This window comes from Homo sapiens, chromosome Y (genome assembly GCF_000001405.40).
Source record: "Homo sapiens chromosome Y, GRCh38.p14 Primary Assembly".
NCBI lineage: Eukaryota > Metazoa > Chordata > Mammalia > Primates > Hominidae > Homo > Homo sapiens.
In genome coordinates this window covers 12,469,107-12,483,372 of record NC_000024.10, presented here as the reverse complement: position 1 = coordinate 12,483,372, position 14,266 = coordinate 12,469,107, and the positions used below count along the sequence as shown (strand labels likewise).

General features: G+C 41.4%; 1 pseudogene; it reads left to right on the top strand.

Moving 5' to 3' along the window:
- Positions 1–14,266, top strand: part of LOC124905301 (glycoprotein Xg-like) — a 69,005-nt pseudogene that overhangs the window by 24,237 nt on the left and 30,502 nt on the right.

The following is a 14,266-nucleotide window of genomic DNA, read 5'->3' as shown; positions in this document are numbered from 1 at the left end:
GGTGTAAAGATTTCCAACAAGGAGCTCTGCAATTCTTGCTGAAAAAATCTTCCAAATTATGCTCTGATGTAAGAAGAAATTCACACCCTGAATAGCACAGCAGGATGTGAATAGCAATGCCAGCCAAAGACATTGCAAACAAGCTGGTAAAACTAAGTGATTGTTAGCTGTTTTAAAAAAAATAATAACTGGTGTTAACAATAAAGTGAACCTTATTTTCTAAAGATTAGGCTACCTTCACAGGTGGATAAGAAAGGGAAGAACTGAGTAAAAGTAGTTAGATATTGCTAGATTTTGATATTTTAATGTTAAATATTCCTGTTAAAAATAGAAATTGGGCGGGTCGCAGTGGCCCACACCTGTAATCTCAGCATTTTGGGAGGCCAAGGTAGGCAGATCATAAGGTCAGGAGTTCGAGACTAGCCTGACCAACATGAAGAAACCCCGTCTCTACTAAAAATACAAAAAAAATTAGCCAGGTGTGGAAGTGCATGCCTGTAATCCCAGCTACTCGGAGGCTGAGACAGGAGAATTGCTTGAACCTGGGAGGCAGAGGTTGCGGTGAGCTGAGATCGCACCATTGCACTCCAGCCTGGGCAACAAGAGTGAAACTCCATCACACACACACACACACACACACAAATAGAAATTGAACGTATAACTCCTGAACTAGTGGAGGAAAATGAAGAATGAAGCATAAAATTAAATACAAGAAGTGAAAAGTAAAATTAAATACCAAAATTAGCCACGTTGTTTCAGTGAGCGCCTGTAGTCCTAGCAAATTGGGAGGCTAAGGTGGGAGGATCACTTGAGGCCCAGAGTTGGAGGCTGCAGTGAGCCAAGATCATGCCATTGCACTTCAGCCTCGGTGACAGAGCCAGGCCTTGTCTCAAAAATAAAAAATTATAATAATAAATAAAAAACATGAATAGTAAATGGAAGTTAGGAAGGAAGGAGTTAAAAAGGAAAAATAAAGTAAAATAGTAGGAATAGTATCCTTAGTTCTGTTAGATGTTGAATGATTTAATAAATCTGTAAAAAGACGGAAATTAGGTGGTACAATTTAAAATGTTTCATGCTGTTTACAAGAGAAGCATTTGCAACAAAATGCCAAAGAGAAAGTGAAAATACCCAGGAAGAAATGCACAAAGCAAATATCAATGGAAAGAAAGCCAAGCTGGGCTAGCAAAATCTGACAAAATAACCTTCAAGGCGCAAACAATTTTGAGGCCCAAATAGAGGTTCTTCCCAGTAAAAGAATGATTCCCTGAATGATAATGGAGTATTGACCCAGCCTGCACCCCAGGTTAAGTTAAAAGTGGAAATTTAAAGATCTAAGTGTGAGATATTAAAAAGCGTTTCCCCTGAAATACCAGGATCTGTAGATGGAAATGTTATTTAGAATAAAGATGTGGAGCTGAGCGTGGTGCCTCAGGCCTATAATCCCAGCACTTTGGGAGGCCGAGGCTGGCGTATTTCTTGAGCCCAGGAGTTTGAGACTAGCCTGGGCAACATAGTGAGACCCCATCTTTACAAAAATTAAATAAAACATTAACTGGACATGGTGGTGTGCACCTGTGGTCCCAGTTACTCAGGAGGCTAAGTTGGGAGTATCACCTGTGCCCAAGAGGTTGAGGCTACAGTGAGCTAGAATCATGCCATTACACTCCAGCCTGGGTGACAGAGCGAGACCCTGTCTCAAAAGAAAAGAAAAAAAAAAAAAAAGGAAAGAAAGAAATGAAAACCGTAGCTCAGAGACAAAGAAACTGAGCAATGCATAGGTTCAGAAGGGTTTGAAACAGACTGACTAAATTGTGTCTTGGCATATGAGAGGGGTCGCAGCTATAAAACAATGAAAGAAGAAACCAAGTTCCACATAGGCAGGACTGAGACAATTGGCTGTTCTTGTATGTGATGAAATCTCAATCTCATGCAATATTTATTTTTTAAGACTGAGTCTCACTCTGTCACCCAGGCAGGACTGCAGTGGTGTGATCTAGGCTCCCTGCAACCTTCTCCTCCTGGGCTCAAGTAATTCTCATGCCTCAGCTGGGACTATAGGCATTTGCCACCACACCTGGACAATTTTTGTATATTTAGTAGAGACGGGATTTCACAAAGTTGGCCAGGCTGGTCTCGAACTCCTGGCCTCAGGTGATGCTCCTGCCTTGGCCTCCCAAAGTGATGGGATTACAGGTGTGAACTACCATGCTGGGACTCATGTGATACTTAAAAATTAACTACAGGTGGATTACATATGTGAATGTAGAAGAAAACAATTTTTTGTAAATAGAGGGAAATGTCTTATAACCTCAGTGTCAGGAAGTTTTTCTTATATAAGATACAAAAAGCATAACCACGCCTGCAGTCTCAGGTACTCAGCAGGCTGAGGCATAAGAATTGCTTGAGCTCGAGAGGTGGAGGTTGCAGTGAGCTGAGATCGCGTCATTGCACTCCAGCTGAGGCTACAGAGTGAGAATCTATCATAAGAAAACAAACAAACAAAAAAAACACAACACAACCTTTAAAAATGGGTAAACTAGATTATATGTATATTTTAAAAATAATAATAATAATAATGTTCCACTTCAGGGTCTAAAAACGTTAAAAGATGAGCTGTCAACTGGAAGAGGCTCCTTGCTGCTCGTATCATCAGGCAAAGTTTAATATGCAAAATACAGTCACCCTTCAGTATTCATGGGGGTTAGTTTTAAGACCCCTGCTTCCCTGTAGACACCAAAATCCACAGCTGCTGAAGTCCCTGATATAAAACTGTGTAGCATTTGCATATAATGCAAGTATATGTTCCTGTATATTTTTATTTATTTATTTGGAGACAGAATCTCACTCTGTTGCCCAGGCTGGAGTGCAGTGGTGTGATCTTGGCTCACTGTAACCTCCCCCTCCCCGGTTCAAGAGATTCTCCTGACTCAGACTCCCAAGCAGCTGGGGTTACAGGTATGCACCACCACTCCCAGCTAATTTTTCTATTTTAATAGAGATGGGTTTTAACGATGTTGGACAGGCTAGTTTCAAACTCCCGACTTCAAGTGACCCACCCCCTTCAGCCTCCCAAAGTGCTGGGATTACAGGCATGAGCCATGGTGCCCAGCCCTTTCTATACTTTAAATTATCCCTATGTTACTCATAATTCTTGATACAGTGTAAATGCTATGCAAATAGTTGTTATACTATATTATTTTTATTTGTATTACTTTTTATTGGATTGCTATATTTTATTTTTGAAATATTTTCAATACAAGATTGGTTGGATCTATAGATGCAGAAATTCTGGTTATAGAGCGCAAACTATGTATAGATAGCTCCTACCAAAACAGATGGATGGCAAAAAAAAAAAAGAAAGAAAGAAAGAAAGAAAATGGAGGAGAGAAACTATGAGGCAACTAAAAGAAGAGAGATATGATCATTCCATTCACTGAAAAGAAAAATTCAAAGAGGGAATCACAGAGTTGCCCAACTGACATGTGTGTGAAATCCTCAGGGTCACACATATCCATTGCAAACCAATTTAAGCCACTGTTTAAATTTAAACCAATTAAACAATTGGGCTTTATTTATTTATTTATTTTTAAAAACGTTCAAGTAAAGGTGTGGCAATGGCAATTTGAGACAGCCCAAGATCTGACCAATTACTGGTGGGATTATAACCCCATCAAAGTCCTGAAGAGACCTTCAGGGGCATTCGAATATGAGCAATCTCCCTTACTGATTCTGCTTGCCATGCACAAACAGCAACAGCGCAACCACGTGGGCATGGGGGAAAGCTCGGAAAGCTGGTGGCACCATTGTTCATAAGAAAAAGAAAGAACATGAAATGCTCACCAGTGACATCATCGCGGGACACTTGGGCGATGGTGCTGCTGATATGAATGAAGTGGGTCTATAGCACCAATAGGAATACCTCTCAAAAATATCACAAGCAGTTTAAAAAGACAAGGAGAAGAAAGGTAACCAAAGGAAGACAACATTGATGTCTATCTTAACATGCACCAAAGAAAACTATAGCTTGATTATGAACATGCACACACACACACTTGTGTAATAAAGCTTTTTTTTCTTTTAGAGATGGAGTCTTGCTCTGTTGCTCAGGCTGGAGTGCACTGGAATGATCGCGATTCAATGAAGCCTCAAACTCCTTGACTCAAGTGATCCTCCCACCTCAGCCCCCCAAGTAGCTCGGATGATAAGCATGCATCATCATACCCAGTTATTGTTTCTTTATTTATATTTTTTGTAGAGATAAGTTCTTGCTATATTATGCAGGCTGGTCTCAAACTCCTGGCCTCAAGCAATCCTCTGGCCTCAGCCTCCCAAAATGCTGGGATTACAGGCATGAGCCATCATTCCCAGCCTGTAGTAGAAGTTTTTTTAAAAAATTACATAGAGAGGCACCCACCTACTATTGAGTAGTGTTTAGTGTTTACCTTACTTTTTCTAGGAAAGAGGTTGGTGAGCTAGGAGTTACTATTTTGAAAAGAGAAAATACTTGCAAGTAAACTACAATTTCTTTCTTTTTGGGTGTTTTCACTGCTTCTTTTTTTTTAATTGAAATCTAATCTTATTTATTTATTTATTTGTTTATTTATTTATTTATTTATTTTTGAGACAGACTTTCACTCTTGTTGCCCAGGCTGGAGTGCAATGGCATAATCTTGGTTCACCACAACCTCCGCCTCCCAGGTTTAAGCGATTCTCCTGCCTCAGCCTCCCGAGTAGCTGGGATTACAGGCATGCTCCACCACGCCCAGCTAATTTTGTATTTTTAGAAAGTGATACCGTAACTTGTATTAATTTTATTGACTCTCTCTTAGCTGAAAAAGCCGGACGGATTCCATTTGGCTCCTTCATTTGCAAGACATTAAGGGCTCGTTACCCACCCCCTTCCTCAAGGACTTAACTTGTGCAAGCTGACACTTAGCACATCAAAGAGTGCAATTAACTGATAAGGTAAGGTGGCAAGCTATGTCCACAGTTCCCAGGAATTCACCTGGGTGATAGTACCCTAAGCCCCCGCTTTTGTGTCTGGCAGATAGCACCCAGAGCCCCCGCACCTATCACCTTGTGATGAGTTTAAAGCCCCTGCACCTGGAACTGTTTGTTTTCCTGTAACCATGTGTCTTTTCAACTTTTTTGCCTGTTTTACTTCTGTGAGATTGCTTCAGCTCAATTCCTCCTTCTGTTTCCAAACCAAAGTATAAAAGAAAATATAGGCCCTTCTTCGCGGCTGAGAGAATTTTTAGCGCTAGCCATGTCTCGGTCGCTGTCTAATAAAGGGCCCCTGAATTAGTCTCACAGTGTGGCGTTTCTCTATAATTCGCTTGGTTACAACAAGTAGAGATGGGGTTTCTCCATGTTGGTCAGGCTGGTCTCTAACTCCCAACCTCAGGTGATCCGCCCTCTTCAGCCTTGCAAAGTGCTGAGATTACAGATGTGAGCCACCGTGCCAGGCCAAAATCTAATCTTTATTAATTTAAGCTCATAGTGCTTCAGAGGGCAGGAAGATAATCAGTTTTATGAACACAGAAAATCTGAGGCAGGTCTCAGTTAATTTAGAAAGTTTATTTTGCCAAAGTTGAGGATGCACCTGTGACATAGACTCAAAAGGTCCTGACAACATGTGCCCAAGGTGGTTGGGGCCCAGCTTAGTTTTATACATTTTAGGGAGACATGAGATATCAATCAATATATGTAAGAAGTACATTGGTTAGGTCTGGAAAGGCAGTACAGCTTGAAGCAAAGACAGGAAGACTCCAAGCAGGGAGGGGGCTTTCAGGTCATAGATAGGTGACAGCAAACAGTTGCATTCTTTTGAGTTTCTGATTACCCTTTCCAAAGAAGGCAATCAGATATGCATCTATCTCAGTGAGGAGTGGGATAACTTTGAACAGAATGGGGGGCAGGTTGGCCCTAAGCAGTCCCCAGCTTGACATTTCCCTTTAACTTACTGACTTGGGGGCCCCAAGATTTATGTTCCTTTCACAGTGCATGAGTGAGAGCACTTGGAAACAGAGTGGAAGTGTGGCAGGCCAGTTCTCACTAACACAGGCCCCTACAACACCTGATTCAGTATAGACTGAGTGGTTAAATATTAAAAGCCAGTGCCCTTATACAAAGGCTGGAATGTAAAAAAAGCCCACCAGGAGTTTTTTTCCAGGACTTTCCCGGGCCTTAAAGCGTGACAAAATAATGAAGGAATTCTTAACAGGACCCATTTAGGATTAAACAAGTTTTATTGGGGGTCTGCAAAAACTCCCCAGGCCTCCACTAACACGTTTATTGGGGGTTTGAAGGAACTCCCTAAACCTCTGTGACTTAGCAGGAGACAACATATGGGTAATCACCCTGGCACCTGGACCCATTAGATTAAGTCAATTTACTGAGGCTCCAGAGGAAGGTCCTCAGGACTCAGACCTTAGTTATAGATTAAAAGAAGTTAATCACTTACATCATTAGATAAATGCACACTTACATGTATACATATAGGTTGGAAGGTATATAAGCTCTGGAAAACTAATATTAGGTTAGTCTTGTTAAATATAGTGAACTCCATATACTGGGGAGACAATAACAATGCAGCTCACCAAGAAAATGTGCAGGACATTAAGGAATTGATAATAAAGGGGATTAAAAGATCAGTACCCCGAACCCAGAATCTTACCCAAATATTTGATATACAGCAAGACAAAGACGAAAGGCCTATAGAATTGTTAGACAGATTAAAGAAACAATTGAGAAAATATGCTGGTCTTGAGGATCCTCCTGGGCAGGGAATGTTAAAATTTCATTTTGTCACTAACAGCTGGCCAGATATTAACAAGAAATTACAAAATATAGAGAACTAGAAAGATAAACCTATAGAAGAGCTTCTAAGAGAAGCCCAAAATGTATATGTGAGAGAGAGAGAAAGAGAGAGTCAGAGAGTGAAAGAGAGAGTCAGAGAGCGAAAGAAAGAGAGAGACAGAGAGGCAGAGAAAGAGAGAGAGAGAGATACAGAGAGGCAAAGAGAGAGGGAGAGGCAAAGGGAGAGAAAGAGGACAAAACAAATGCTTCAAATTAAAAATAGGTCACTTCAAAAGAGAATGTCCCAAATGGGAAAAAGAACAAAAGTCATATATAAAAGCACATCAGCTAATATTAAATTTCTTTTAATTCTGGAAGCAGGTACAAATCTATTAGGAAGGGATTGTTAGATATGAGTTCTAAATTTCTTTTCAAAGAATTAATATGTCAGTATGTTCAATTCTTTGCCTTCTACTTTTAAACTTCCTCATAAAGCAAGCTTTTTCGATTACTTACTCCACCCTGACTCCTTCTATCACCTGTTCCACCCTACATTCCAATCACCTGCTCCACCCTAACTCATTCCAATTACCTGCTACCTGCTCTGCCCTGACTCCCACCAGGCACTCACCCCATCATTCTCTTTAAATTAGCCAATCAGAATTAGTTTAGCCTGTGCAATCTAACCCTAGCCAATAGGGGTACAACACAGCAGCAGGGGCCACTTGCATCAGGAATAAGAACCCCTTCCCTTCCCTTGTCCAGGTATGCACTCACCATTATTCCATCTGTAATGGACAAACTTCTATAAAAGTAACTTGCCTTGCTGAGAATTTAAAAGAAAATTTTATATTCGACTGCTATTTCTTTTGTGGCACTGAAACTTTATATATAACAGGAGTTAATGTTACACTTAGGCCTAGGCCTCTAAATCAATCTTAGAAAATTCCTCCATCTCCTAAACTTTCTCACCACCATAACAAAAGATGGGAATCGAGGAAATTTACAGATTCCTCCAATTCCTGCTAAATTAAAAAAGTTAAACACCCCTGGGAAAGTAGAACAAGAAAGCAATGTACCCCATTCCTTTAAAAGCCAGGGTAAATTTAAAACCTGCAATTGATAATTGAAGGTCTTCTCTGTGATGGGCTTCTTAAGCCCTGTAAGTCTCCCTATAAGACTCCAATACTCCCTGTAAAGAAGCAAGATGGTTAGTGCAAGACCTTAGAGCTATTATTAATCAGATAGTCCAAACTACCCACCCTGTTTTTCCCATACAGTCACCAGTGGTTTACAGTAATAGATTTAAAAGATGCCTTCTGGGCTTTTCTGTTAGCAGAAGACAGACAAGAGTTATTTGCCTTTGAGAGACAAGACCTCACTGCAGTCAAAAACAGTAAAACTGATAGACAGTCTTACCCAAAGTCTTACGAAGTCTCCAAATTTATTCAGTCAAATATTAGAAAAAGTCATTTAATTAGCAAAAGTAAATGGAAAATTGAGCTTGAATTGGTTGAAGTCATCATATCCTTAAATAATTACCATATAAAGGTCTGACCAGACCTAGGAGAAAACTCCCTTCAGGATGGGATGACACTTATTTATAGATAGTTCCTCCTGGGTGATTGAGGGAAAAAGACACAATGGGTATTCAGTAAATTGACAGAGAAACTCTTATAATAATAGAGTCAGGAAAATTGCCTAATAATTGGTCTGGTCAAACATGTGAGCTGTTTGCACTCAGCCAAGTTTTGAAGTACATACAAAACCAGGAAGGAACTATCTATACTTATTCTAAGTATGTCTTGCAGTGGCTCATACATTTGGAAAAATTAAGGAAACAGGATTAAGGTGGATACATGCCCTTCCTATGGCATTGTTTAAAATAAGACTCATGCCTTCTAAGAAAACAGGATACTGCCCTTATGAAATACTGTATCATAGGCCTCCTCCTATACTGTGGGGACTTCCAGGCACTCCCTGAGAGTTAGGTGGAATTGAATTACACTGACAGCTACAGGCATTGGGAAAAATTACACAGACAATCTCAACTTGGGCAAATGAGAGGTGTCCCATCAGCTTATTCTCTCCAGTTCACCCTTTCTCTCCAAGTGATCGCATGTGGATCAAGGACTGGAACGTAGCCCCTTTGGGGCCACGGTGGAAAGGACCTCAGACCATCATCCTGACCACCCCCACGGCTGTAAAGGTAGAAGGAATCCCAGCCTGGATCCACCACAGCCGTGTGAAACCTGCAGCCAATGAAACCTGGGAGGCAAAACCGAGCCCGGACAACCCCTGCAAAGTGACTCTGAGGAGGACGACAAGCCCTGTTCCAGTCACACCCAGAAGCTGACTGGTCTACGTGGCTGAAGCATGAGGAGGATCATCATGGGACTCATTTTCCTTATAATTTGGACTTGTATAGTAAAAACTTCCACTGATTTTCCCCGCATGGAGGACTGCTCTCAGTGTATATATCAGGTTACCAAGGTAGGGCAGCAAGTTAAAACAATCTTTCTGTTCTATAGTTACTATGAATGCCTAGGAACTTTAAAAGGAACATGTTCCTTTTAAACCCTATCCTGAGCCAGTGTTTCAAACTTTCTATGATGAATGTGCCAGTACCAGAAATTCCAGGAAAAACAAGAAATTTATTTTTGCAATTAGCCGAGCATGTAGCCCAGTCTCTCAATGTCACTTCGTGTTATGTATGTGGAGGAACTGTGATGGGAGATCAATGGCCATGAGAAATTCGATAATATAGACCCAGTTACTGATGAATTGCTGGCTCAAAAGAATCACCGTGATAATTTCTGGGTCCTAAAAGCCTATATTATTGGACAATAATCCATACTGGAGAAGAAAAATAATTCTCTCACCCTGTAGGATGACTTAGTTGTCTGGGACAGAAACTGTATAATGATACCCCAAAATTGTCACTTGGTGAAGTTCAAATCACACAGAGAGGAATCTGTTTAATAAATTTCCAAAGTTGCAAACTGTGTGGACCCACCTGGAGTCCCACCGGGACTGGACAGCCCCCAATGGATTATACTGGATATGTGGGCATATAGCTTATGCCAAATTACCCGACCAACGGGCAGGTAGTTGTGTTATTGGCACTATTAAACCATCTTTCTTCCTACTGCCCATAAAAACAGGTGAACTCCTGGGCTTCCCTGTATATGCTTCTCATGAAAAGAGAAGCATGGCTGTAGGAAATTGGAAAGATGATGAATGGCCCCCTCAGAGAATCATACACTATTATGAGCCTGCTACTTAGGCGCAAGACGGCTTATGGGGATACTGGAGCCCCATTTACATGCTCAACCGAATCATAGGGTTACAAGCTGTCTTAGAAATCATCACTAATAAAACCGCAGAGCCTTGACTATTGTGGCCTGGCAAGAAACTCAGAAGAGAAATGCTATCTATCAAAATAGATTGGCTCTTGACTACTTGCTAGCAGCTGAAGGGGAGGTCTGTGGGAAATTTAACCTTAGTAATTGCTGTCTACACATAGATGATCAAGGGGAAGTAGTTAAAGACATTGTTAGAGATATGACAAAACTGGCACATGTGCCCATGCAAGTGTGGCATGGATTTGATCCTGGGGCCATGTTTGGAAAATGGTTCCCAGTGCTAGGAGGATTTAAAACTCTTATAATAGGAGTTATAATAGTAATAGGAACCTGCTTACTACTCCCTTGTTTGCTACCTGTACTTCTTCAAAGGATAAAAAGCTTCATCACTACCCAAGTTCACCAAAATGTGTCAGCACAAGTGTACCATATGAATCACTATCGATCTGTCTTGCAAGAAGACATGAGTAGTGAGGATGAAAGTGAGAACTCCCACTAATGAGTGAGGTTTCAAAGTGGGGGAACAAGGGAGGAGACCACCTCTCATATTGTTTTATGACTAAATTTCTGCCTCAAAGGAAAAGTAGCAGTTAAAGAAAAGACAGAAATGAAATCACTAGTCAGGCAGCCTAACACTGCATTCCAGACCTGGTAGTTAAAGATTGACCCCCGACCTTATCGGTTATATTATCTATAGATTCCAGACATTGTATGGAAAAGTACCGTGAAAATCCCTGTCCTGTACTGTTCTGTTCTCATTGCTGGTGCATGCAGATCCCAGTCACATACCCCATGCTTGCTCAATAGATCATAACTTTCTCATGCAGAGTCCCTTAGAGTTGTAAGCCCTTAAAAGGGACACAAATTGCTCACTTGGGGAGCTTGGTTTTTGGAGATGTGAGTTTGCCAATGCTCCCAGCTGAATAAAGGCCTTTCCTTCCACAAGTTGATGTCTGAGGGGTGCTTGTCTGTGGTTTGTCCTGCTACAATTTTACTGCACATGTCATTAAAAATTAGCCCAGGTACTGGATATGACATGGGAATATCATACTCTCTGGCACCCACCTTCATCAGGAAGAGTGGAAAGACTGAACCAAACTCTAAAAAACCACTGAACCAAATTGGTTCTGGAGATTCAGTTACCATGGACCAAATGCCTTCTTATTGTCCTGCTGAGAATCTGAACTTCCCTGCAGAAAGAGACTGGTCTTTCTCCTTATGAGATGGCAGTACATATTGCCTTATTTACATGCCACTGCTGACATTCCTACCTTTGAAACAAAAGATCAGTTTCTTAAAAATTATACACTTGGTCTGTCATCTATTTTCTCTTCCATAAAACTAAAGGTCTCTTAGCACAGTTGCCACCCCTGGAGTTCGCAAGGCAACAATATCAACCTGGGGATCATGTCCTCATCAAAAGCTGGAAGGCAAAAAGCTCAAACCAGCCTGGGAAGGACATTACTTAGTGCTCCTAACTACTGAAACTGCAGTTTGGACAGCAGAAAGAGGCTGGACCCATCACACCTGAGTCAAAAGAGCACTGTCCCCTCTGGAGTCATGGGCCATAGTCCCAGGACAAAACTCTACCAAACTAAAGCTAAGCAAAGTTTAACCCTCCATTTATTTTATAACTCCTCCTTTCCTTGCTCTACTGCTGAGCACCTTGTTATTAATGTAACCAGGTCACCTTTTCCTGAGACAATCACATTTGATGCTTGCTCACCATACCTTGCAGGGATCTCCAAAACCAAAGGTAACTGGCCTCCTCAGAAAAATATCTGTCTCTCCAAAGGCACATCTGACCTCTGCAACTCTTGCTTCATAGAGACCAACTCCCTTATGTTTCTCACATTTTAGGAACAAAACATGGACTAGTTTCTAGCTCCCTCCTATGGACCACTGAGGAACAAGTGGTCCATAGCACTAATGAGGTCCTATGGACCTCCATAGCACTGTCCCTCCTATGGACCACTGAGGAACAAGGGTGGACTTCCTCAAAGGGCTGCACCTCTCTAGAACCGTTACTCCATTTCACCAAATAAAGTGTTCCCTCTAATTGTCAATAATATCAATGCAATCTGATGCAGCTTTCTATTCTTACCTCTACTGATCCTGACGCCACTTTATGTTGCTTCTATGACATGGGAGCTAACTTGGCTGGCACAGACCTCATAGACTCATTTGAAATGCATTTTATTAATCCCTCACCCTCTTCACCCCCTAGCTCCTCTTCTCTGTTTAGAACTTCTTCTGATCAAACTGTCATCCTTTCCATACCCAATGATAGGACCAGAGTAGATGTTGTAAAAGGTAAATGATTTATAACAAACTGGCAATAGAGCCAGGATATCAAGATGCAAATGCCTGATTGGAATGGATCAAATATTCTGTCCACACATTAAACAAAAGCAATTGTTACGCTTGTGCGCATGGCAGGCCAGAGGCCCAGATTGTCACATTTCGACTAGGATGGTCCTCCAGTTGACCAGGCATGGGCTGTATGGTAGTTCTTTTCCAGGATTCCACAGTCTGGGGTAACAAGTTGTGCCAAGCTCTCTCTCTGCTATATCCCAAAGGTTGACACCCTGCAGGCCAGCCCCTGAGGGCCATCCAGCTTCTGTCTCCCAACACTAAGTTACTTCGTGTCTCTCACGACAAGGAGGAAACTTAGTAATCCTTGGAGACCTGAGGGGATGCTGTGAGTGTAAGAATTTTCAAGAGCTTATCAATCAGTCGGCCCTTGTTCATCCCCTAGCAGATGTGTGGTGGCACTGTGGTGGAGCTTTACTGGACACTCTGCTGAGTAACTGGAGCAGCACTTGTGCTCTAATCCAATTGGCTATCCCTTTCACACTGGCATTTTATCAGCCAAAGGAAAGAAAAATGCAATATCATAAAGCAAGAGAAGCCCCTTATGGGTCTTTTAACCTACACATCTATCTAGATGCAATTGGAGTCCCACAAGGAGTACCAGATAAATTTAAAGCCCACAATCAAATAGCTGCAGGATTTTTGTCAATATTTTGGTGGGTGACAATTAATAAGCATGTAGATTAGATAAATTATATTTATACAACAAACAGCACTTTATTAACTACACTAGAGATGCTGTTAAAGGAATAGCTGAGCAATTAGGGGCTGCTTGCCAGATGGCTTGGGAAAATAGGATAGGCTTAGACATGATATTAGCAGAAAGCGGAGGAGTTTGCTTCATGATTAAAACTCAATGTACTACGTTCATCACAAACAACACCACTCCTGATGGAAGTATAACAAAGGCATTGCAAGGTCTAAGTGCTCTGTCCAGTGAGTTAGCCAAAAACTTGGGGGCAAATGACCCTTTCACAGGGTGGCTAGAAAAATGTTTTGGTAAATGGAAAAGAATCACAACCTCAATTCTTACTTCTCTCGCAGCCATAGCAGCTGTACTTATTCTTGTAGGGTGCTGTGCCATACCATGAATCATGGGCAGGTGCACAGACTCATAGAGACAGCACTTACTAAAACCTTCCTCAACTCTTCACCTTATTCAGAGAAGCTTCTTTTAGAGAATCAAGTAGAACAACTGAATCAAGACATGTTAAGGAAGTTTGAAGAAAGAACTGTAAAAATTCAAGATGGGAGATTGTTAAATATAGTGAACTCCAAGTTTCTCTTCAAAGAATCAGTATGTCAATATGTTCAGCTATTTTATTCTTTGTTTTCCATTTTAAAGTTCAACTTCCTGGTTCTCTTCACCCCCTTGCCTCTAGTTTCAGTAAACAACTTTCCTGTCAGTTCTAATCAGTAGTTTACCTCTGATCCCCTGGTCTTGTACTCCATCTTGAGTCACCCCTGGTCACCTGCTCTGACCTGACTCATCCTGAGTCACCTGTTCTGTAACCGTCCTTCTCATGAAACTACTCACCACACCACTCTGACTCATACCCCTGCTCTTTTTAAAATAACCAATCAGAATTAGCTTAGGCTGTGTGGCCCAGCCATACCAGATAGAGGAATGACTCATCAGCAGAGGTGACCTGCAACAGGAATCAAAACCCCTTCCCCTCCCTTGTTCTGGTGTGCTCTTGCCATTGCTCCATCCACAAGTTACATCC